General features: G+C 49.0%; 3 protein-coding genes and 1 long non-coding RNA gene across 39 annotated transcripts in view, besides 6 other annotated features; 1 reads left to right on the plus strand and 3 right to left on the minus strand.

The window, feature by feature from the left end:
• Positions 1 to 5,015, minus strand: part of GCN1 (GCN1 activator of EIF2AK4) — a 67,514-nt gene extending 62,499 nt beyond the window's left edge. The window contains exons 1-2 of the mRNA NM_006836.2: positions 4,980 to 5,015; positions 598 to 700 (exon numbers count right to left, since the gene is read on the minus strand). Coding sequence (NP_006827.1) covers positions 598 to 700; positions 4,980 to 4,997 — 121 coding nt within the window. The 5' untranslated portion in view covers positions 4,998 to 5,015. The remainder of the gene's footprint in view (positions 1 to 597; positions 701 to 4,979) is intronic.
• Positions 4,723 to 5,312: a silencer, noted in NCBI's record as "silent region_4942". NCBI's record gives its function as "represses an Ori minimal core promoter by ATAC-STARR-seq in GM12878 lymphoblastoid cells {active_cell/tissue: GM12878}" and the evidence as "EXISTENCE:reporter gene assay evidence [ECO:0000049][PMID:35858748]".
• On the minus strand, positions 6,999 to 11,411 carry RPLP0 (ribosomal protein lateral stalk subunit P0). Of its 2 annotated transcripts, none has more exons than NM_001002.4 (8): positions 11,383 to 11,411; positions 11,030 to 11,131; positions 9,610 to 9,785; positions 9,418 to 9,505; positions 9,154 to 9,300; positions 8,854 to 9,039; positions 7,622 to 7,762; positions 6,999 to 7,234 (listed from the first exon to the last, which is right to left on the minus strand). In NM_001002.4, exons 2-8 carry the CDS (start codon positions 11,081 to 11,083, stop codon positions 7,073 to 7,075), a joined length of 954 nt encoding a protein of 317 aa, NP_000993.1. In that variant the 5' UTR covers positions 11,084 to 11,131; positions 11,383 to 11,411; the 3' UTR covers positions 6,999 to 7,072. The 2 variants fall into 2 exon arrangements, with proteins under 2 accessions (NP_000993.1, NP_444505.1); NM_053275.4 differs by having other exon boundaries at positions 11,030 to 11,191.
• Positions 8,496 to 8,995: an enhancer, noted in NCBI's record as "H3K4me1 hESC enhancer chr12:120635999-120636498 (GRCh37/hg19 assembly coordinates)". NCBI's record gives its function as "activates a minimal SCP1, AML or CMV promoter by ChIP-STARR-seq in primed H9 embryonic stem cells {active_cell/tissue: H9 hESC(primed)}" and the evidence as "EXISTENCE:reporter gene assay evidence [ECO:0000049][PMID:30033119]".
• Positions 9,115 to 10,056: an enhancer, noted in NCBI's record as "H3K27ac hESC enhancer chr12:120636618-120637559 (GRCh37/hg19 assembly coordinates)". NCBI's record gives its function as "activates a minimal SCP1, AML or CMV promoter by ChIP-STARR-seq in primed H9 embryonic stem cells {active_cell/tissue: H9 hESC(primed)}" and the evidence as "EXISTENCE:reporter gene assay evidence [ECO:0000049][PMID:30033119]".
• Positions 11,097 to 11,166: an enhancer, noted in NCBI's record as "active region_7133". NCBI's record gives its function as "activates an Ori minimal core promoter by ATAC-STARR-seq in GM12878 lymphoblastoid cells {active_cell/tissue: GM12878}" and the evidence as "EXISTENCE:reporter gene assay evidence [ECO:0000049][PMID:35858748]".
• Positions 11,567 to 11,926: an enhancer, noted in NCBI's record as "active region_7134". NCBI's record gives its function as "activates an Ori minimal core promoter by ATAC-STARR-seq in GM12878 lymphoblastoid cells {active_cell/tissue: GM12878}" and the evidence as "EXISTENCE:reporter gene assay evidence [ECO:0000049][PMID:35858748]".
• Positions 11,591 to 23,128, plus strand: PXN-AS1 (PXN antisense RNA 1). The gene is made up of 4 exons (NR_038924.1): positions 11,591 to 11,726; positions 16,845 to 16,921; positions 20,139 to 20,234; positions 22,675 to 23,128. It is a non-coding gene; the product is annotated as a PXN antisense RNA 1 (long non-coding RNA).
• Positions 15,166 to 15,460: an enhancer, noted in NCBI's record as "tiled region #12439; K562 Activating DNase matched - State 5:Enh". NCBI's record gives its function as "activates a minimal TATA promoter and a strong SV40 promoter by Sharpr-MPRA in K562 cells {active_cell/tissue: K562}" and the evidence as "EXISTENCE:reporter gene assay evidence [ECO:0000049][PMID:27701403]".
• The window catches only part of PXN (paxillin), a 55,284-nt gene continuing 52,232 nt past the window's right edge, over positions 20,747 to 23,798 (minus strand). For 32 of the 35 annotated variants that reach the window (NM_002859.4, NM_001243756.2, XM_047429246.1 and 29 more), the window contains one exon: positions 20,747 to 22,880. In NM_002859.4, coding sequence (NP_002850.2) covers positions 22,614 to 22,880 — 267 coding nt within the window. In that variant the 3' untranslated portion in view covers positions 20,747 to 22,613. Of the gene's footprint in view, positions 22,935 to 23,798 lie in introns of all 35 variants that reach the window. The other 3 variants (NM_001385990.1, NM_001385989.1, NM_001385988.1) reach the window with 1 other exon arrangement.

Below are 23,798 nucleotides of genomic sequence, written 5' to 3' on the forward strand. Positions count from 1 at the left end.
GGGCCCAGTGGCTCGTGCCTGTAACCCCGGCATTTTGAGAGGCTGAGGCAGGCGGATCACTTAAGATCAGGAGTTCAGGACCAGCCTGGCCAACATGGTGAAACCCCATCTCTACTAAAAACACGAAAATTAGCTGGGTGTGGTGGCGCACACCTGTAATCCCAGCTACTGGAGAGGCTAAGGCATGAGAATCGCCTGAACCCAGCGAGGCAGAGGTTGTAGTGAGCCGAGAGCGTGCCACTGCACTCCAGCCTGGGTGACATCGTGAGACTCTGTCTCAAAAAGAAGAAAAAAACACAAAAAAAACCACAAAATTTATTTTTGATATGGAACACTGTCATTCGAGAAACCCCATCTCTACTAAAAATACAAAAATTAGGCAGGCATGATATGGGCACCTGTAATCCCAGCTACTCGGGAGGCTGAGGGCAGGAAAATCGCTTGAACCCAGGAGGTGGAGGTTGCAATGAGCTGAGATCGTGCCATTGCACTTCAGCCAGGGCAACAGTGAGAGACTCTGTCTCAAAAAAAAAAAAAAAAAAGAAAGAAAGAAAAACAATGAATATTGTCCAGGGTATGTGGATGAAAAATAAATACCTTTTCCAGCAACACACTTCCCAAGTTCACTGAGGATTTCTCTCCGTTCCTTTACACTGGCTGTTGTCACCTTCCCTGCAAAACGCTTTAGTGTCTCGGAAACCTGTGAAGGCCAAGCAACAGAAAAATTCACTAGTCAGACTATAAAACTATGAGTGTGTGTGTTGAGGGGTGGGTGTAGAATTTGGGGATCTCTCTAACCTGGGGTTTCTCAACCTCCCCACTGGTGACATTTTGCACCGGGTAATTCTGGTTGTGGGGGCCGTGTTTTTAGCAGCATTCCAGGTCTCTACCCACTCGATGTCAGTAGCAGCCCACCTTCCCCACCCGCCCCAGTTGTGACATTGTCAAATGTCTCCTGGCAGGCAAAATCACTCCCACTTGAGATGTACTGCTTTAATTCAACTAGTCAACAAATCAATATACCTTATTTAAACTTTGGCAATAAGAGGAAAGGCAAAGACCTCTGAAAAGAAAATATCCCTTCAGAACTACCCAAAATCTAGCAAGGGCCTGGTACGTGCCAACTATGTTCCCTTTACATTATCTCACTTTAACCTCCCCATAAAGGGAATGTCAGCATCCTGGCAACTCACTGGCAGAGGATAAGCACACTGGCTAAAGGGGGAAAGGTTAGGAGATTGGATCCCAGCTCTGCCTTTTACTAGCTGTAGAAACTTAGTCAAATAATGTCACTCCCCCAATCTTCAGTTTTCTCATCTATAAGATGCGGACAATAGCAGCTACCTCATATGACTGTTATGGAGCTTAAATGAGATTGCGTATAAGGTGCATCTACTCTCATCCCAAGCAAAAAGTTGGCTACTACTACCAAAAAGCCTGCAAGGGAGGCATCAGTATCCCCATTTTATAGGCGATGAAGAAACCATCTCCAAGAGAGGAAGTCACTGCTCAGAGTGGGGTCGAGAGCCACAGCACCTGCGTTTTTGAAACTAACTTTGAAACCAAACAGGTCTATAAACTGATGCTAACAAATCTTTAGCTTTCAACAGCCATCGAGTTACCACAGCTGCAGTCCCCTGCATAGGGACATAAGCATAAGACCCAGTGATGGGGGGCAGTTTGCAAACATCCCTGAAAATCTGCTCTTGAGCAATATTCTACAAGCTACCAAGTGGACAGGTTGTGGATTCATAAGCCGTAGAGCAGGGCATGATAAGGCTCATGTAACTTAACACAGTGGGGTTATCATGTTTTTCTTTTGAGGGTATTTCAAAGGCAGGCCTTATCAGTAGCGTAAGAGTCAAGCGTACACACAGAAATAAAATAATGCTGAGTTTTTCGTGCTTAAATCCCTGCCATAATTCTATTGGCAATGAATAAAAGAAACTGATGTCCAAAACTGTCTTCTACATAAATAATGTAGTTTTAACTTTAAAATGTCTTTTGTTTTTATAGTCATAGATGCACACAGAGTCAAAACCAAAGAGTTCTGAGAAGTCTGCCATAAAAACCAGTCCCTTGCCCTCACTCTCCATGGGCAACCCTTAGGTTGATCTGGTGGATATTTGGGTAGTTACCTCCATATATCTAAGTATCTCTAAATATGGAGGTAACTTGCATGTGCTTCTTGATTTTTCAGTTTTGCTACCTTTCCACCACAGCTCCCTTTCCTGCTGTGACCCCATCGCACACCCTCCCCATTTCCCCAGTGGAAGTCCCCAGTTTCACATACAGGCTAGGTCAGTAGTCAGTGATTACATTATATGTAAATGGCATTCAACATCCATTTAATAAACTCTGATTCTTCCCAGCTTTTTTATGCCCCTGGTGTTAATAATTACCCTTTCCCACCTCACTTCAGTTTGACTTGTTTTATCTGTTCTTATAAATAATTAAAACCCAAACTTTTTGCCATTTGTCTAAATCTCAGTACATTTAGGGAGATCAGGTATTCCATCAAATTCCACCTTCCTAAGGAAATCTCTCCCAGAGTTTTCTGACCTGCCCCAATTAGGCATGTGATCCTCTACAGCTGGGGCACAGTTTATCACCCTGAACATGTACTTTCTTGTGTTTGGGTGAAGCACAGCCTCCATTTTGTAAACTCCTTGCAAGTATGAAAATGTTCTGGCCAAATACAGAATTCTAGGTTGAAATCATTTTCCTTTAGAATACTGAAGACAAGGCTGGGTGCAGTGGCTCACGCCTGTAATCCCAGCACTTTGGGAGGCCAAGGCAGGCAGATCACAAGGTCAGGAGATCGAGACCATCCTGGCCAACATGGTGAAACCGCGTCTCTACTAAAAATACAAAAAAAAAAATTAGCTGGGCGTGGTGCCGGGTGCCTGTAATCCCAGCTACTTGGGAGGCTGAGGCAGAAGAATCGCTTGAACCCGGGAGGCAGAGGTTGTAGTGAGCCAAGATTGTGCCACTGCACTCTAGCCTGGGCGACAGAGCGAGACTCCGTCTCGAAAAAAAAAAAAAAAGAATACTGAAGACAAGGCCGGGCATGGTGGTTCACGCCTGTAATCCCAGCACTTTGGGAGACAGAGGCGGACAGATTGCTTGAGGTCAGAAGTTCGAGACCAGCCTACCCAACATGGTGAAACCCTGTCTCTACAAAAACTAGCCGGGCATGGTGGCGCATGCCTGTAATCCCAGCTACTCGGGAAGCTGAGGCAGGAGAATTGCTTGAACCTGGGAGGCAGAGGTTGCAGTGAGTTCAGATCGTGCCATTGCACTCCAGCCTGGGCAACAAGAGAGAAACTCCGTCTCAAAAAATAAAATAAAATAATAAAAAATAATTTCAGGCCAGGTGCGGTGGCTCACGCCTGTAATCCCAGCACTTTGGGAGGCCAAGGCAGAAGGATCACCTGAGGTCAGGAATTCGAGACCAGCCTGGCCAACATGGAGAAACCCCATCTCTACTAAAAATACAAAAATTATAAAATACAGAAATATTCTCCTGCACCACCCAATACGGTAGCCACTGGCTACATGTGGCTAACTGTGCACTGAAATGTGGCTGGTACAAGTGAAGAACTAAATTTTTTTTTTTTTTGAGACAGAGTCCCACTCTTGTTGCTCAGGCTGGAGCGCAGTGGTGCGATCTCAGCTCACTGCAACCTCTGCCTCCCAGGTTCAAGCGATTCTCATGCCTCAGCCTCCTGAGTAGCTGGAATTACAGACATGCCACCATACCCGGTTAATTTTTTGCATTTTTAGTAGAGACGGGGTTTTGCCACGTTGGTCAGACTAGTCTCAAACTCCTGACCTCAACTGATCCACCCGCCTTGGCCTCCCAAAGTGCTGGGATTACAGGGTGAGCCACCACGCCCAGCCAAACAATGAATTTTTTTATTTAATTTAATTTTAACAAACTTAAGCCATGTGGCTGCCATACTGGACATTGCAGCTCTAGAGATTTTTCCCTCAAGTGAGTATCAATGTTAAACATTCAGCATGTATTCCCCTAACCCTCTCATACTAAGCTTTTCTTTCTAGTATTCAGTACAACATAACTTGAACATCAGCCACCTGCATAGGAGTCTCAGTAAATGTCTTTTTGAATGCTTAAGTGGTCATTTTCTGGGCCTACACATAAAAATCAATCCCATCACCCTGGAGACACCAAATCAGCCCAGCTGTCCTTAGACACCTGTTCTTCCCCTGCCTCATGACAATGTCTTTTCACCTTAAAACATAACAACTGGGTGGAGGAAAAGGTTTTCCCAGGTCCTTCCTGAACTACAAGGTACCCATAGGTAACACTCTTCCTGGACAGGACAGTTCTTTTCACTAACCCTGGATCTGATAACAACCAACATATATCAAGCCGTATTTTATCTCACTGAACCTTCACAACAACCTTTTAAGATAAGTATTGTTTTAACTTCATTTTATAGATGAAAAGGCAGACTTGGCGGGGTTAAGTCACTTGTTTGGCATGTCACAGAAATCGACGAGCAGGAACTCAAGCCCAGATCTGTATGAATCCAAAGACTACACTCAAAGTCCCTGCTCATAGTAGGTGCTCAAAGAATATTTGCTGAATACAAAGTTTAAGGAAGACTTGGCGTTGGCCCGGGGCTCACAGCCGGAGGGCTTTGGAGAAAAGAAGTAGAGGCTCGGTAAAGTGAACTTCTGCAACTCTGGGGTCGGGCAAAGGCCCCGCCGAGCTCCAGCTGCTGAAGTCGAGGCGGGAGCCCCGGACTCCTCGAGCCCGCGGTCTGCCTGCGCCGCCCGGGCCGGGCCAAGCCCGCAGCCCTGAGAGTCCAGCCTGAGACGGCCCCGAGACTACGACCTCCACAGCCACCACCTCCAACGCCCCTAAGCCGAGGAGCGAGAGGGGCCCCGCCCGACGGCCACCGTCCGCACCCAGTCCCTGGCCGCGTTGGCCCCGCAGCCGCCCGCCTCACCTGCGTGTCCGCCGCCATCCTGCCGGGGCTGACTCCGGAACCGCTTCCGGAACGCTTCCGGGTCACAGCGTGGCCCACGCGGCAGGGCGAGGCCGGGAGCCAGCGGGGGCAGGGCCCCGGGCTTGGTGCCCCCGGGCAGGACGGCGGCCGCTGCAGCCCGGGCAGCCGGATCACGGGCTTAAAGTTGGCCCGCGCCCGAGCCACAAGGCCTCCTCCCCAGGGCCCGCTCTTCAGCCCCGGGCGCCTCGTGGGAGACTAGCGCTTGTAACGTGGTGAGCCCGCGGTGTAACGCTATGGGCCCGCCTTGCAGCCCCTGACCCACTTCCAGCCCGCAGGGCCAGCCCTACGTGGGCCTTTCCTGAGTGATGACTAAGTTCTTTAGAAAAACAAGTGTTGCTTCCTAGATAGCAGGAACTAAAAACTAGGTAAAAGAGTCGGTGAACTAGTCTTTTGTCCTCAGTTTGTAGTTCAGTTGGCGGATGACTTGTACAGGGTTAGCAAACGTGGCTGGATACGGAGGTCAGGGAAGGTTCAGAACTGAACGAGGCCCCTGCCCTGGGGAAATGCTGGACGCCCCAGGCTGGGAGTTTTGAAGGCCACAGGGCAAGAGGCTACGTGCAGACGTGGCTGCAATTTAGGGAACAGGGTCTCCACAGCTTAGTTGTCAGCCCTGTTAGCAGTGGCTTTCAAACCTTTGACACAGACCTAGTTAGAATGAATATATCATGTTCCAGCAGACAGATCTCTAAGTGAAATACAGGAATCACAACAAAAACACCTATTCTCAGCAGATGCTGCTTTCTCTTTAAATACTGGGGCCAGGCATGGTGGCTCACGCCTGTAATCCCAGCACTTTGGGAGGCTGAGGTGGGTAGATCAACCTGATGTTAGGATTTCCAGACCAGCCTGGTCAACATGACAAAACCTTGTCTCTACTAAAAATACCAAAAAAAAAAAAAAAAAAAAAAAAGGCCGGGTGCGGTGGCTCACCCTTGTATAATTCCAGCGCTTCGGGAGGACAGGGCGGGCAGATCACAAGGTCAGGAGTTCCAGACCAGCCTGGCCAACATAGTGAAACCCCGTCTCTACTAAAAGTACAAAAATTAGCCGAGTGGTGGCACATGCCTGTAGTCCCAGCTACTGGGGAGGCTGAGGTGGGAGAACCGCTTGAACCCGAGAGGCAGAGGTTGCAGTGAGCTGAGACCATACCATTGCACTCCAGTCTGGGTGACAGGACGAGACTGTCTCAACAACAAAAAAATTAGCCCGGTGTGGTGGCAGCCTCCGGTAATTGCAGCTACTTGGGAGGCTGAGGCAGGAGAATCACTTGAACCCAGGAGGCGGAGGTTGCAGTGAGCCAAGTCCAAGCCACTGCACCCCAGTCTCAAATATATTTGAGACTATCTCGAAAATATAAATTGGTTACCACCGAGTTGGAGCACCACCCAGTTTGAAAAACTTTACTCTAGGGGACTGGCCCCAGCATCCACCAGGTGCCTATCTCAGCTGACACTAAACCTACTCCAAGTATGCAGCAGCCATAGAAACAGTAATTCTAGTGTAATAGTTACAACTGTGTCTAGAAAACTGTATAGGATGTTTGATTGGTAGCTTCATTTAGATACCCAAACATCAACACCTAAATACAAAGCTCTGGTTTTACCATGGCTTTCGTTTCTAGCATATGGCACTATAAACCTCAAAATTAAGGGCCAGGCACATGGTGGCTCAAGCCTGTAATCCTAGCACTTTGGGAGGCTGAGGCAGGATTCCTTGAGGCCAGGAATTTGAGACCAGCTTGTGCAATATCTCTACAAAAAAAAAATTTAAAAATTAGTAGCTGAGTGTCATGGTGTGTGCCTGTAGTCCCAGCTACTTGGGAGGCTGAGATACGAGGATCCCTTGATCCCAGGAGTTCAAGGGTGCAGTGAGTTATGATTACACCACCACACTCCAGCCTGGGCAACAGCCAGACCCTGTGTCAAAAAGGAAAAAAAATTACAAAATTAAGAGTCCAGAGACTTTTTAAAGAAGTAAGCCTTTATTTCCTTGTTTTGCAAATAAAACTGGCTAAGTTGGTTGCTTTTTGGTGATTAGTCAAAGAGACCAAATCCCATATCCTCGTCCGACTCCTCCGACTCTTCCTTGGCTTCAACCTTAGCTGGGGCTGCAGCAGCAGCAGGAGCAGCTGTGGTGGCAGCAGCCACAGGGGCAGCAGCCACAAAGGCAGATGGATCAGCCAAGAAGGCCTTGACCTGAAAGGAGGGGGGAAGTGGTCAAAATGGTCATCCACACTCCTCTATTACCCACCACCCTCCTGCCTTGGTAGAGTTTAAGGACCAACAATATCAAAGTCCGTGTGAAGCCTTTCCTGTCAGAAGCAGCCCAAGCAGGACAGCTTGGGTATGGCCTAGTGAGGCAGGGTTCCTAAGGCCCAGCTCTTGCCCATTAACCCCCTCTTTGGGTCTCTTGTCATTTCTCAAGTGAGAAACGCCTTCCCTGCCTCCCAACCTCTCAAATATCCCCTCACAAAATTATCTGCTATATAAAATACAACTATAAAAGCAGTAAGGTAGAAGGCCACATCACCCTGCTAATTTGTCACAGTCAGGCCCACTGTGGTCCTGGTGGGATCCTTTTACCTTTTCAGCAAGTGGGAAGGTGTAATCCGTCTCCACAGACAAGGCCAGGACTCGTTTGTACCCGTTGATGATAGAATGGGGTACTGATGCAACAGTTGGGTAGCCAATCTGCAGACAGACACTGGCAACATTGCGGACACCCTGGGGGAGGGAAGATTTCATTTTACGTGAGATTCCCTACAGGAAAGGAAGTCCAAGTAAGGGTGAATAAAGAGAACCCTTAGCAGACAATAATTGCCAGGTTGGCAGCTCAGTCTCAAGAGAGGCCATTTCATCTCATACCAAATGCTCCTGGCAGAGCAATTCAGCCCCATCAAATAAATTTTGCCCTTATTCCAAATCCAGGTCTTCTGTATCCATTGTTGATGGCATTTACTTCCAAAGCCCCTACCACAACAGTGAAAAGCATAAACGACTAACGTAGCCATTGAGTTCCATGAACGAAAAATGTTCAACGATTTCCAGATGTGAACTTCATTCACTTGTCAAACTTTCAACAAATGAAGCTACCTAAGAGTAGCTAATAATATCTAATTATATACATTAATTTCAATTTTTCATTTGTCCAAGAAATGACATTTTCTATCACTATTATTCATTATTTAAAGGGCATTATTTTTTTTGTGAGACAGAGTCTCACTCTGTCACTCAGGCCGGAGTGCAGTGGCACCATGTCAGCTCACCGCAACCTCCACCTCTTAAAAGGCTTTTGATGGCAAAATGTGAGTCTCAATGCAGGCCCTAGAATAACAGCCCCAGCACTGTACATCCATTAATTCATTAAATCCTTTGGCCAGGCGTGGTGGCTCATGCCTGTAATCCCAGCACTTTGGGAGGCCGAGTTGGGCGGATCACGAGGTCAGGAGATCGACACCATCCTGGCTAACGCGGTGAAACCTAAAAATACAAAAAAATTAGCCGGGCGTAGTGGCGGGTGCCTGTAGTCCCAGCTACTCAGGAGGCTGAGGCAGGAGAATGGTGTGAACCCGGAGGCGGAGCTTGCAGTGAGCCGGGAGATTGTGCCACTGCACTCCAGCCTGGGCGACACAGCAAGACTCTGTCTCCAAAAAAAAAAAAAAAAAATCCTTCAACAATCTTATGTTGTTACTGACATTTTACAGATGAGGTAGGTAGACAGATGAAAACACAGTCCTTGGTTACAGGGACTCAGTCTGAACCTTGTCATGCTCTCAACCATCAGTGTAAGAGGGGGCAAGGCTGACAGCATATACCTCCAGGAAGCGAGAATGCAGAGTTTCCTCTGTGATATCAAGCACTTCAGGGTTGTAGATGCTGCCATTGTCGAACACCTGCTGGATGACCAGCCCAAAGGAGAAGGGGGAGATGTTGAGCATGTTCAGCAGCGTGGCTTCGCTGGCTCCCACTTTGTCTCCAGTCTTGATCAGCTGCACATCACTCTGAACCAGATAATAGTGGGGCAGTAAACACCTGTTGGACAACCAGCAGATCCATGGCCACTAAAAGCAGCTCCCCATTTGCCTGGTTAGCACAGGCAAACCAGGTCCACTCACCAGGATTTCAATGGTGCCCCTGGAGATTTTAGTGGTGATACCTAAAGCCTGGAAAAAGGAGGTCTTCTCGGGCCCGAGACCAGTGTTCTGGGCTGGCACAGTGACTTCACATGGGGCAATGGCACCAGCACGGGCAGCAGCTGGCACCTGACAAAGACAACAAACAGTGAGAAAAGCCTCTCCACTCACACAACCTGAGAATGGTCCATTTTGCTTTAAGGAGCAACAACAAAGTCTCTTTAGCCAACCCAATTGTCCCCTTACCTTATTGGCCAGCAACATGTCCCTGATCTCAGTGAGGTCCTCCTTGGTGAACACAAAGCCCACATTCCCCCGGATATGAGGCAGCAGTCTGCAAAGAGAAGTTTATGGGAGACAATCACCTTTCAGCACCATTCTCCAGGAAGAGGGAGACGGGCACTGGGGAGAAAGGACAAAACTGCCAGGGGAACTGACTTCTCCAGAGCTGGGTTGTTTTCCAGGTGCCCTCGGATGGCCTTGCGCATCATGGTGTTCTTGCCCATCAGCACCACAGCCTTCCCGCGAAGGGACATGCGGATCTGCTGCATCTGCTTGGAGCCCACATTGTCTGCTCCCACAATGAAACATTTCGGATAATCATCCAATAGTTGCTACAAAAAACAAGCCAGAGGAGCCAAGTTTAACAGGAAGAGAGAGGGAAAAAATGCCAGAAGAAACTGAACCCCACAATTTGTTTCCATCCCACTCCCTTTCTTCTAAGCTTTTGAAGTCAGAGGGAGATTGGGAGCTACGTTGTAACACTGCCAAACTGGATGATTGGCTAGCTGGGTATGAACGCTGAAAATTAGGTTTCTACATTCAATCAAGGAGTTTTTTCTTTTTTTACTTAGTTTTTAATTTTTCCCAATTACCAGGCATGCTTCTGATTCACTAAAATGGTTAACAGGATAAAAAAGGAATGTTCCAAGTAAGTTGGTCAAGAGGAGGGCTAGATTCACAGCATTAAAAGCACCACGTTAAGCAAATATAGCAACATTATTATTTGTAAAAACAATCTAGGCGTGTTTATCCGGATTGTTACACAATTCCTTTGGGTTTTGTGTCTGAAAACCTTCTAAGTGTGGGAAAATGTAATACAAGCTATGCTCTACAATGCTGCCTAATTGCTTAAGCGCAGTACAGTCAGCATTTCTGGGCAAGGGAGACCCACCTCAAAGGCCATCCAAAAGTCATTGGACACTTAAGTTTCTTGGCTGACAGGTCCTAAATATGCAACAGCTTGCTTCCTTACAATGAGTCATTCCTGACCTCAGACCTTCTCAAAAATGGAGTAAAACTGTAATGTGCGGCCGGGCGCGGTGGCTCACACCTGTAATCCTAGCACTTAGGGAGGCCGAGGAAGGTGGATCATGAAGTCAAGAGATCGAGACCATCCTGGCCAACATGGTGAATCCCTGTCTCTATTGAAAATACAAAAATTAGCTGGGTGTGGTGTCGCGCCCCTGTAATCCCAGCTACTCGGGAGGCTGAAGCAGGAGAATCGCTTGAACCTGGGAAGCGGAGGTTGCAGTAAGCCAAGATCAAGCCACTGCACTCCAGCCTGGACAACAGAGCGAGACTCCGTTTAAAAAAAAAAAAGTATAAAGCGCGCTCTTTTAGAAGCCAGACAGACCTGGATACGAATGCTGTCATCTTAGGACCCACTTAACTTGCCTGAGCCCGTTTATCTGCAACAGAAGGGACCTATCTCAGGAAATTGTTAACTAAACAGTATTTTCCCAAAAATGGCCTAATTCAGTAGCCGGTGTGAGTAGACCCTCAGCACATAGCAGCTGACTGTCCCTATTTGCGCTGGGGCAACATGAAGAGCAGAGGCGACCCACCCTGCACTTACGATGATCTTAAGGAAGTAGTTGGACTTCCAGGTCGCCCTGTCTTCCCTGGGCATCACGGCGGTGCGTCAGGGATTGCCACGCAGGGTTTAAAGACGATGTCACTGAGGAGAGACAGGGAGCTCAGGCCTGGTCACGCCGACACCCATCCCGCGGTCCCGGGCCTAAGAGGAGCAGGACACGCGCAATCGCCCGCCGGCCCTGCCTAGGGCAGCGGCCGTCATCTCGGGGCGTGCAAGCCGCCACCGAGGCCCCAGGCGGAACAGAATAGGACTCCATGTTCCCAAAGGCCCCCAAAGACCCCTCCATGCTTCCCGCCGGCGACCCCTGGCGCCCATCTAACTAGCACACGAACCTTCCACGAGGACGCCTGGCGAGAGAAGGGCCTCGCGCCCGCGCGTGCCTTTTATAATGCGAACAAAGTAGCCAATCAGAAACCGCGGATAGCGCTCCTGTCTATTGGCTGCGCCATCGCCCGTCAGACAAAGCTGAACGAATACAGGCAACCATTGGATAATATCGCTGCCACTCCAGCCAACGGAAAGCCGCCTTTAAGTAGGGTCGCGAAGGAAGGCGCTGCCTCGCGTTGGAGGAGCTTGCTCTGAGCTGCTGCCACCTGCTGGGCTGGAGCTGGAGCTGGAGCTGCGAATTCGGAGTCCCGGTTCCCTGTGCCACCTGGCGAGCTCAGCAAACTAAAAGGTATGACGTGGAGCTGAGACATAATTGCACATGCTTAGAAACAGAATGGTTTCTCTTTTTTTTTTTTTTTTTGAGACGGAGTGTCGCTCTGTCGCCCAGGCTGGAGCGCAGTGGCGCCATCTCGGCTGACTGCAAGCTCCGCCTCCCGGGTTCACGCCATTCTCCTGCCTCAGCCTCCGGAGTAGCTGGGACTACAGGCGCCCGCCACCGTGCTCGGCTAATTTTTTTTTTGTATTTTTAGTAGAGACGGGGTTTCATCATGTTCTCCAGGATGGTCTCGATCTCCTGACCTCGTGATCTGCCCGCCTCGGCCTCCCAAAGTGCTGGGATTACAGGCGTGACCCGCCGCGCCCGGCCTCAGAATGGTCTCTCGTCTTCTCTAGTTTTTCCGCCTACCAAAACAGAGGGATCCTTTAAAACCTGGCCGGGCGCGGTGGCTCACGCCTATACTCCCAGCACTTCGGGAGGACGAGGCGGGTGGATCACCTGAGGTCAGGAGTTCGAGACTAGCCTGGCCAACATGGCAAAACCCCGTCTCTACTAAAAATACAAAAATTAGCCAGGTGGGGTGGCGCATGCCCGTAATCCCAGCTACTCAGGAGGCCGAGGCAGAAGAATCGCTTGAACCCGGGAGCTGTGAGCTCTGCAGTGAGCTAAGATCACACCATTGCACTCTAGCCTGGGTGACAGAGAGGGACTCCATCTCAAAAAAAAAAAAAAAAAAAAAAAAACCTAAGTCAGCTCATCTCCTTATCTGCTTAAAACTTTCCGTTTCCTACAGAGTAAAAATCTAAAACCTAAAGTACCTACAAGGCCCTTACCTATCTGTCCCTCACGCCCACTCTGATCATCTCAGATGTTTTCCTCCTCACTTACTTGCTTTCTACCCAGATGATGCTCTGCTGCTTTTCCAGAGCAGGCTTTACTTGGGGGCTTTTGCATTAGCCATTCCCTCTTCCTAGAAAACTAGCCAACAAACATCCATAGAATAATTCACCTCCATCAAATCTTTTTTTTTTTTTTTTTTTTTTTTTTTTTTTTTTGAGAAGCAGTCTCACTCCGTTGCCCAGGCTAGAGTGTAGTGGAGCAATCTCAGTTCATTGCAGACTTGACCTCCCAGGCTGAAGTGATCCTCCCACCTCAGCCTCCCAAGTAGCTAGGACTACAGGCACACACCACCACGCCAAGCTAATTTTTTGTACTTTTTGTATAGATGGGGTCTTGCCATGTTGCCTAGGCTGATGTCAAACTTCTGGGCTCAAGCAATCCTCCCACCCTGGCCTCCTAAATTGCTGGGATTACAAGAATGAGACACCTTGCCCAACCCTGAGATCTCTTTTTTTTTTTTTTTTTCACTGAAACCTATGGAATTATGTATTAAATGATCCCCAAAGAATCAGCTATTTCAAAATTAAAAATTATTACAAAGAGCTTCATACATCATGTTATATCCTATATCACACACCATAAAACTGTCAGAAGTAGGCCGGGTGCGGGGGCTCATGCCTGTAATCCCAGCACTTTGGGAGGCTGAGGTGGGCAGATCACGAGGTCAGGAGATCCAGACCATCCTGGCTAACACAGTGAAACCCCGTCTCTACTAAAAAATACCAAAAGTTAGCCAGGAGTGGTGGCGGGCTCCTGTAATTCCAGCTACTTGGGAGGCTGAGGCAGGAGAATTGCTTGAGCCCAGGAGGCAGAGGTTGCAGTGAGCTGAGATTGCGCCACTGTACTCCAGCCTAGGTGACAGAGCAAGATTCCGTCTCAAAAAAAAAAAAAAAAGTTAGAAGTAGCTCGATTTCACGTTACTGTATTTCTTTTTCTTTTCTTTTTTCTTTTCTTTTCTTTTTTTTTTTTTTTTTTTGAGACAGAATTTCACTCTTGTTGCCCAGGGTAGAGTGCAATGGCGTAATCTCGGCTCACCACAACCTCCACCTCCCGGGTTCAAGTGATTCTCCTGCCACAGCCTCCTGAGTAGCTGGGATTATAGGCATGTGCCACCATGCCCGGCTAATTTTGTATTTTTAGTAGATACGGGGTTTTTCCATTTTGGTCATGCTGGTCTCGAACTCCTGACCTCAGGTGATCCACCCAGCTCAGCCTCCCAAAGTGCTGGGATTACAGGCGTGAGCCACTGTGCCTGGCCTGGGGTCTCTTTTATTTGTCTTCTTGGCTATCTGTGTTCCATGGGAAGGATGGAAAATAACATGAATGAGATTTAAATGCTGTTTTGACAGGTTATTAAGATTCCAATCACTCCAGGTGCGGTGGCTCACGCCTGTAATCCCAGCACTTTGGGAGGCTGAGGTGGGCGGATCACGAGGTCAGGAGATCGAAACCATCCTGTCTAACACAGTGAAACCCCATCTCTACTAAAAATATAAAAAACTAGCCGGGCGTGGTGGCATGTGCCTGTAATCCCAGCTACTTGGGAGGCTGAGGCAGGAGAATGGGGTGAACCCGGGAGGCGGAGCTTGCAGTGAGCCGAGATTGTGCCCCTGCACTCCAGCCTGGGTGACAGAGAGAGACTCTGTCTCAAAAAAAAAAAAAAAAAAAAAAAGATTCCAATCACAATCTGCCTACTCTCCCTGATCGAGCGAAGTCCAGAAAGGTGGCAGAATGTCTCTAAAGCAGCTACACACACACACACACACACACACACACACACACACCCCAAAAAATGCCAGAAAAGATGGAAGAGTAAGAAAATCAGGCCAACATGAATAATTTGGTAAAGTGGTGGGCGGGGCGGGGGGTGGTGGCGGTAGCAGGTTTAAAACCAAGACACTTGCATGGCAGGGTATATTGGTGCAGCTGACTGGCATAAAATTCCCTGAACAGAATTTAGATACGGGTAGCTCAAGTGCTGTCAATCTCATCTTGTTCTACCATAAATCAGTAGCTCCAACTGAGACCTCTGTGGGAGGCCAGGTTCTTATTCTCTGAAATTAGAGCCTACCCACTGTATGAGATTTCCTACCACAGGGCTAGCTCTGTTGCAAGCAGTAGGGTACTGACTCTGATTTCTCTAAAGTCCTTTGTAAATTTTTTGTGTTTTTTGAGATGGAGTTTCACTCTTGTTGCCCAGGCTGGAGTGCGATGGCGTGATCTTAGCTCACCACAACCTCCGCCTCCCAGGTTCAAGCGATTCTCCTGCTTCAGCCTCCTGAGTAGCTGGGATTACAGGCATGCGCCACCACACCGGGCTAATTTTTTTTATTTTTAGTAGAGATGGGGTTTCTCCACGTTGGTCAGGCTGATCTCGAACTCCTGACCTCAGGTGATCTGCCCGCCTCAGCCTCCCAAAGCGCTGGGATTACAGGCGTGAGCCACCGTGCCCAGCTGTAAATATTCTTCTAATGACGCAAATTTCACCATGGTGGGCACAAGCTCGAGTCCTTGGCTCACACCCTTGTTTCCAAGGCTTTGTTACGTTAAAACATGGAGGCTTCTATGGTGAGGGAGACTGGGGAATCACTGCAGGATACAGAACTAGGGAGTTGCAAGAATTACAGGAGTCAGAGCACTCTGAAACTATGCAGACTGAAATATGTCAAAAATGACTGTCTTTGGTATATCACAAGGGTTTGCCAAACTATAGCTCATGGGCCAAATATGGCTACTGTCTGTTTCTGTAGATAAAGTTGTGGCCGGGCGCAGTGGCTCACGCTTGTAATCCCAGCACTTTGGGAGGCCGAGGCGGGTGGATCACGAGGTCAGGAGTTCAAGACCAGCCTGGCCAAGATGGTGAAACCCTGTCTCCACTAAAAATACAAAAATTAGCCGGGCTCGGTGGCAGCCGCCTGTAATCCCAGCTACTCCGGAGGCTGAGGCTGGAGAATTGCTTGAACCCAGGGGATGGAGGTTGCAGTGAGCCAAGATTGTGCCACTGCACTCTAGCCTGGTGACAGAGCAAGACTCCATCTCAAAAAAATAATAATAAAATAAAAGTAAATAAATAGGCCAGGCACAGTGGCTCACACCTGTAATCCCAGCACTTTGGGAGGCCGAGGTGGGTAGATCACGAGGTCAGGAGATCGAGACCATCCTGGCTAACACGGTGAAACCCCGTCTCCACTAAAAATACAAAAAATTAGCCAGGCATGGTGGCAGGCGCCTGTAGTCCCAGCTACTCAGGAGGCTGAGGCAGGAGAATGGCGTGAACCCAGGAGGCTGAGCTTGCAGTGCGCTGAGACTGTGCCACTGCACTCCAGCCTGGGCGACAGAGCAAGACCCCATCTCAATAAATAAATAAATAAATAAATAAATAAAGTTTTATTGGGACATAGCCTTGCTCACCTATTCGTTTACACATTGTCTATGGCTGTCACAAATGAGTGGTTACAACAGAGACTGTGTGATCCCCAAAGCTTAAAATATCGACTATTTAGAGTGAGACTCCATCACAAAAAAAAAAAAAAAAGAAAAAAGAAAAGAAAGTAATTACAGAAAGTCATATAGCAACAAAACTCTCCAGGAAGGGCTTAAAATATCGACTATTTAGAGTGAGACTCCGTCACAAAAAAAAAAAAAAGAAAAGAAAGTAATTACAGAAAGTCATATAGCAACAAAACTCTCCAGGAAGGTACTTATTAGGATACCTGTTGAAAGAGGCAGTATGTATCGTAGAATGAGCATCAACTTTGAACCTAGATTTGACCCATATTTCTGCTTTTTATTGGGCCGAACAAACCTTGCCTCACAGAGTTATCAGGGTTAAGTGTTACGATCTAACTCAGCAGTCCCCAACCTTTTTGGCAACAGGGACCAGTTTTGTGGAAGACAATTTTTCCACAGACACCAGGGATCAGAGGGGAGTGTGATTTGGGGATGAAACTTCTACCTCAGATCATCAGGCATTAGATTCTCATAAGGAGCGTGCAACCTAGATCCCTCGTATGCAGTTTGCAATAGGGTTCGCGCTCCTGTGAGAATCTAATGCTGCTGCTGATCTGACAGGACGACAAGCTCACTCACTCGCCTGCTGCTTGCCTCCTGATGTGCGGCCCAGTTCCTAACAGGCCACAGACCAGTACTGGTCCTTGGCCTGAGAGTTAGGGACCCCGATCTAACTGACAATACTTAGTACTCACTAAACTGTCATGTTCTTCCTTCCAGTCTCTTTGTCTTCATCGTTTCCGGCACTGATGTGAGCACATCATAAGCACAAGACCTGGACACCTTTACAATCAGAGGTAGCATCTGTCTGGAACTGTATCTTGACTCTCACTGGTGCTTTTCCTTTGGTTGATGCAAAGCTTTTGAATCCTTTAGGGAGATGTCATTGTGAGTATCTATGATACTATGCTACTACTATCTATGATCATTGAGAGTATCTATGGTACTATGATACTACTATCTATGATCATTGGGAGTATCTATGGTACTATGATACTACTATCTATGATCATTGTGAGTGTCTATGATAGTCTCCTGTGCCTTCAAAATCTTTGCCTTCTCCATAGAACTTTCCCAACTAGCTTGTAAGATCCAAAGGTGTGAGACACACTGATCCAGAACATTCAGGGAGTGTAGTGAGGGGAAGGAAATATAAATTGTCTCGTCAGCAGTTAATTTTTATTTTATTTTATTTTATTTTTTTTGAGATGGAGCCTCGCTCTGTCGCCCAGGCTGGAGTGCAATGGTGCAATCTCAGTTCACTGCAACCTCCGCCTCCTGGGTTCAAGCAATTCTTCTGCCTCAGCCTCCAGAGTAGCTGGGATTACCGGCACCCACCACCACACCCAGCTAACTTTTTGTATTTTTAGTAGAGACAGGGTTTCACCATGTTCGCCAGGCTAGTCTTGGACTCCTGAGCTCAAGTGATCTGTCGGCCTCGGCCTCCCAAAGTTCTGGGGTTACAGGCATGAGCCACCGTGGCCGGCCGGCAGTTATGTTTTGATGGCCTTTTGAGAATGGAAGCCTGTGTGGATTCCGTTGTCTGCCTTGCTGTGGATCCTGAAAGGTGTTCTGTTGGCACTGGGCGCTGAGCCAGGGGGCAGGCTGTGGTGGTCCAATGTTCAGTTGGCATATTTCCACTTGTACTTCAGGCACCCAACTTCCGCCATAGCCTAGGGCTTCAGTCTTCACCCTGAGATCCCTGGTTCCATCAAGATGCTCAGCTCCATTCGGCAACCCGCGGACACCCGAGATCTCTTTTTAATGGCAATGTATTACTGCACACTTCGTATTGTCCTAAGTACTCTGTGCACATTACTGAAGCTAATCTTTGCAACAATCCTCTGAGGAGATACAGTACTGTCAGTACTCCCATTTTATCGATGAGAATACTCACAGGAAGGTTAAATAATTTGCCCAAGTCTCTCAGCCAGTAAGTGAAGGCTTCAGAACTGAAATCTAGGAGGAAGTTCAAAGCCCCTGGGCCTCACTGTGCTATACAGTCCATTCCAAACCCTGAGTCAGCCTCCCTCTGAACGCACTTTTCCAAGTATATACATATGCACAAGGTACATTTCCAAGGACCTCCTGGCTCTGATGATATAAATATCATCTCTAATTGTAGTACATCAATATAACGGAATACCATGAAGCCATTAGAAAATGGTACAGATCTATATTTATTGACATGGGAAAATATCCACAAAGCAAAGCGAAAAGCACATTACAGTGAAATATACCATACCTGGCCGGGCATGGTGGCTCACGCCTGTAATCCCAGCACTTTGGGAGGTCGAGGAGGGTGGATCATTTGAGATCAGGAGTTCGAGACCAGCCTGGCCAACATGGAGAAACCCCGTCTCTACTAAAAGTATAAAAATTAGCCTGGCGTGGTGGCGGGTGCCTGTAATCCCAGCTACTCAGGAGGCTGAGGCAGGAGAATCGCTTGAACCTGGGGGGCAGAGGTTGCAGTGAGCCATGATCGCGCCACTGCACTCCAACCTGGGTGACAGAGTGAGATGCCATCTCAAAAAAAAAAAAAAAAAAGAAAAAAAAGGAAATATACCATACCCATTTCTAGAAATAAAATAAATCCAACATGGGCTGGAAGAATAAACCAAGTTATTCTCTTGAACTCCTGGGCTCAAATGATCCTCCCACCTTGGCCTCCCAAAATGCTAGGATTACAGGCATGAGCCACAGAGCCTGGCCCCATCATTCTCTTTGGGTGAGCGTTGAAGGTAATTTTCACTTCTGAGCTCACTATAGCATGGGAAGAGTTTAAACTAGAATTCAACATGCTGCTTTTGGAGAACCGTTCCAAACAACAGGGAAGCTGTGAAGACACAGCTCAAGGTTAAACAAAACTGCCCAGGAAGCTCTAGGACAAGCTTGTCCAATCCATGGCCTGTGGGCCACATGCGGCCCAGGATAGTTTTGAATTTGGCCTAATGCAAATTTGTAAACTTTCTTTTTTTTTTTTTTTTTTTTTTTGAGACGGAGTCTCGCTCTCTCGCCCAGGCTGGAGTGCAGTGGCGTGATCTTGGCTCACTACAAGCTCCACCTCCCGGGTTCATGCCATCCTCCTGCCTCAGCCTCCCGAGTAGCTGGGATTACAGGCGCCCGCCACCATGCCTGGCTAATTTTTTGTATTTTTAGTAGAAACGGGGTTTCACCGTGTTAGCCAGGATGGTCTCGATCTCCTGACCTCATGATCTGCCCGTCTCGGCCTCCCAAAGTGCTGGAATTACAGGGCAAATTTGTAAACTTTCTTAAAACATTATGAGATTTGTGATTTTATTATTTTTTTTCTAGTTCATCAGCTATCATTAGTGTATTTTATGTGTGGCCCAAGGCAATTCTTCTTTTTCCAACATGGCCCCAAGGAAGCCAAAAGATTGGACACCCAGCTGGGCGCAGTGGCCCATGCCTGTAATCCCAGCACTTTGGGAGGTCGAGGCAGGCAGATCACTTGGGATCAGCAGTTTGAGACCAGCCTGGCCAACATGGTAAAACCCTGGCTCTACTAAAAATACAAAAATTACCCGGGTGTGGTGGTGGGCACCTGTAATCCCAGCTACTTGGGAGGCTGAGGCATGATAATTGCTTGAACCCAGGAGGTAGAGGCTGCAGTGAACCGAGATCGTGCCACTACACTCTGGCTTGGATGACAGAGTGAGACTCCATCTCAAAAAAAAAAAAAAAAGCCAGGAGTGGTGGCTTACGCCTGTAATTCCAGCACTTTGGGAGCCAAGGCAGATCACTTGAGATCAGGAGTTTGAGACCAGCCTGGCCAACATGGTGAAACCCTGGCTCTACTAAAAATACAAAAATTAGCCGGGTGTGGTGGCAGCTGCCTGTAATCCTAGCTACTCAGGAGGCTGAGGCAGGAGGATCCCTTGAACCTGGGAGGTGGAGGTTGCAGTGAACCGAGATCATGCCACTGTACTCCAGCCTGGGCAGAGTGAGACTCTATCTCAAAAAAAAAAAAAAAATTGGACATCCCTGCTCTAGGGCCTAGGACTGGAGCTCTGGATCTGACCGGAGCAAAGAGGAAGCACGCAAATCCGGACATGACGACGAGGAGGCAGTAGAGACCCATCCTCAACTGTAAGTAACTGCCTTCGGCAGGGAAGGGGCTAACCCACGTTGTGTGGGCTCAGGCACGGCCGCGTCTGGTTCTGTGCAGGAACACAGGCAGAGGCAAGCCCTGGGTCCGCATCATGGCTCTGCCCTCACTCAGATTGCCTTGTACATGTAGGTTCTTGTCCTAGAGCCTCTTTCCCTACTTCTAAATGAGTGGAAAGCCACCCACAAGCCCGTGAGTGAGGATGCCCTTGGTAAACCCAGGTGATCACACCCTGGGCAGGCCCTGCCCCACAGGGCCCCATCCCGCTGCTCCCCAGCCTGTCCTCACCAACTGCCCAGGCAGGAGCAAAGCCCACGGGGAGGACCTGTGACCACAGGCAAGGACCACGGACCCCAGCCCCAGGGATTTTGACCTCAAGAAAGGAAACATCCACAATTTACCCTCCATCTGGTGATCCAGCTGCATCTGGGGTGGGTTTGGTCTCTGCTGGGACCATGAGGTTCAGACCACCAAGAAATAGCACTAGCACAGGTGAAAATCATGGGCAAACTTTATTGGCATAAATCACAGGAATTGAAATGGGAAAAGCCAGCTTGGAAGTTTACAGAGAAAAAATAAAATCAAAATCAAATTTTCAAATAACCACTGACTCAGAGAATGGACCCCAGAAACCCCAGTCCCTCTTGGGGAAGATCTAGGGTGGGTCACTATAAACAGAGCGGTAAGGCCTGCGGGTGAAAGTGGAGACATCAGACCTTTGGAGGGGCTGGGCTGACCTTCCCCCAAAAAGGAGGGACCCTCTTCGGAGACCCCAGCACACTCGGCTTCTGCCAGGAGGCCAGTGGAGTGGTTTGGACTGTCACCATTAGACCCCGGTGGGGCCCCTTTCTCCTCATCAGGAGCCCAAGGCCTGGCTCCTCTTTCATCCTTGGTAAAGAGCTCTGGGGGGTTTCCCCAGAGGAGCCTGTCCCTCTGCCCCAAATCCTATCATGCTCCCTTATGACCTTCTTTCCAGACCCCCTGAGTGCCGATCCCACCTGTGAAAGGGGAGGAGCAGATCTGGGGAAGGGATATGCCCAGAGGAAATCAACAAGACCAAAGAGACGTCAGAGTCCTGATGGCCAAAATCAGACACCAGCTTTCCTGAGAAGGCAGAAGAGAGAGCCCCATAGAAGCAGTGGGGGCTCAGAAGGTTCAGTGGGTTCACAGGGGAGCAGAGGCTCCTGAGGGCTTACTCAGACAGGAAGCAGCCCCCCAAAACATACTTCCCCTTCTCCTCCCACAGAAACAGAACAGATAAAGTTCAGAATTCTAGGCCCAAAAGGGTGCAACACCCTTCAACCAGTTTCAGTGAAGAGCTTGCTGGCCTGGGAAGTAAAGAAGGGGTTTCCAAATACAGCAGTTTATAAAACAGTCCTGGTGAGCTATGAAGTGAAAGAGGGGGAGTCACAGAGCTGCTCCCAGTTCACCTGCTTGTGCTAAGAAACAATAAAATACAAATTGCTTCCCCACCCCAACCCTCAGTACAAAGCAAACTTCACACCAGAGCCACCATCAGTGACAGGCCCAGTGGCGGTGGATGAGGAAGAGAATACAAAAGGGAACGTCTTTAAAATCTCTTCAAAATCATTTTGTATAGAGAAGTAAAAGCAACTCAGGCGATATGAATTCAAACCTCAGTGTAGAAATCTATCAAAGTCGGTACAGTGTCCAGGCACGCCGTCCCGGAGACGGAGGAAGTGACTAGAAAACATTATTGCTGGAGAGGCTTTTCTCAGTAGAACAAGAGCAGGTATAAAAGGGGAGGGCGGGTCTAAAAGGCAGGGGCAGTCGCCAGGCCTAGGGCACTGGAAGGGTAGGAGGAGCACAGAGAACCTTCCATGGCCCCTTTGGTTCTCTGCCTTTGGATGGATGGATTTATGCTGGCATTGTCTGGAGGGAGCCGGGTGTCCCCCAATAATCACAGAACAAAGACAATTAGGTCGGGGGAGGAATAAGGATAAAAAGAGACCCCAACAGACCCTGCCTGCCCTTCCCTGCCCCCCGGCTGCACTGCTGAAATATGAGGAAGAGATGGCTCCAGTGTGGGGTGCTGGCCAGGCCAGTTCGTGGGGACGTACATGGGCTGGGGTGGAGCCCCCAGCCTCTACCCCTGGGGAGGATGGAGAGTGGGCAGCCTAGGGAGAGCTACAGGAGGGAGGAGGGGGCCCAGAGGCTCTGGCAGGGGTGAAGACAAGCAGGGGGACCCCTCACGGCCCTCTGTCCATCCCGCACCAGCGGAGGACAAGGGTTCCAGTTTCAGTCGGGTTTACCCCTTCACCCCCGGGTGAAGTCTCTAGGTCACAGTCGCAGTTGGGGATGCTGGCTGGGGAAGGGGGGCAGAGACAGGGGCAGGGCACCTAGCAGAAGAGCTTGAGGAAGCAGTTCTGACAGTAAGGCTTGTCGTTCTGCTCCTTGAAGGTGCCCTTGTTGAGCTGCTTGAGGCAGAAGGCACAGACGAAGTGCTCGGGGTGGAACTTCTTGGCCATGGCGGTGATGCAGCGGCCGGTGATGGGCTTCTGGCAGCCAGAACACAGCGAGCCGCGCCGCTCGTGGTAGTGCACCTCACAGTAGGGCTGCCCGTCGTGCTCGAAGAAGCTGCCGTTCACGAATGGCGTGAAGCATTCCTGCCAGGCGGAGAGAGGGGCTCAGGGAGCTGCCCCTCGGGCTAGAGCTGCACCCTGTGTGATGGGGCCGAGGTGGGCATAGTCGGCACGCTCGGAGTGACTCCTACTTGCTAGGCGTTTCCCATGTGCCGTGTTGTCCTAAACGCTCATTTTTCATTTTTATTTTATTAAATAAATTTTTTTTGTAGAGATGGGGGTCTCACTATATTGCCCATGCTGGTCAAATGTGGCCTCCTGCAATCCTCCCACCTCGGCCTCCCACAGGGCTGGGATTATTTAGTTCTCCCAACAGGGGAGGCAACTGAAGCACACAGGTGAAGTAACTTGCCCAGGGTCATGCAGCTACTGAGGTCACAGCCTGGATTCATACACAGGTCTGACTCCTGAGCACTTAGCCAGGTGGCTGTAACAGTGTTCCCAGAAACACAGGTGTGACACTGGTCTGTAGTCAAACTCTGCCTCCTAGATTCTCATTGGAGATTCACATCACATATAGGTAGAAAAGGCTCTGAGAGGGGCCGGGTGAGGTGGCTCACACTTGTAATCCCAGCACTTTGGGAGGCCAAGGGAGGCGGATCACCTGAGGTCAGGAGTTCAAGACCAGCTTGGCCAACATGGTGAAACCCCGTCTCTACTGAAAATACAAAAAATTAGCCAGGCATGGGGGCGTGTGCCTGTAATCTCAGCTACTTGGGAGGCTGAGGCGGGAGAATCACTGGAACTCAGCAGGCAGAGGTTGCAGTCAGCCAAGATCGTGCCACTGCACACCAGTCTGGGCAACAGAGTGAGACTCCGTCTCAAAAAAAGAAAAGAAAAGAAAAGGCTCTGAGAAGTCCTGCAGGGAACAGTGTTTCCCAAACTCATTTGGTCAGAGAGCCCTTGTTGAATCATTAATAACCCCTGTGGGGCCCCCAGAAT

This window comes from Homo sapiens, chromosome 12 (assembly GCF_000001405.40).
Source record: "Homo sapiens chromosome 12, GRCh38.p14 Primary Assembly".
Taxonomy (NCBI): Eukaryota; Metazoa; Chordata; class Mammalia; order Primates; family Hominidae; genus Homo; species Homo sapiens.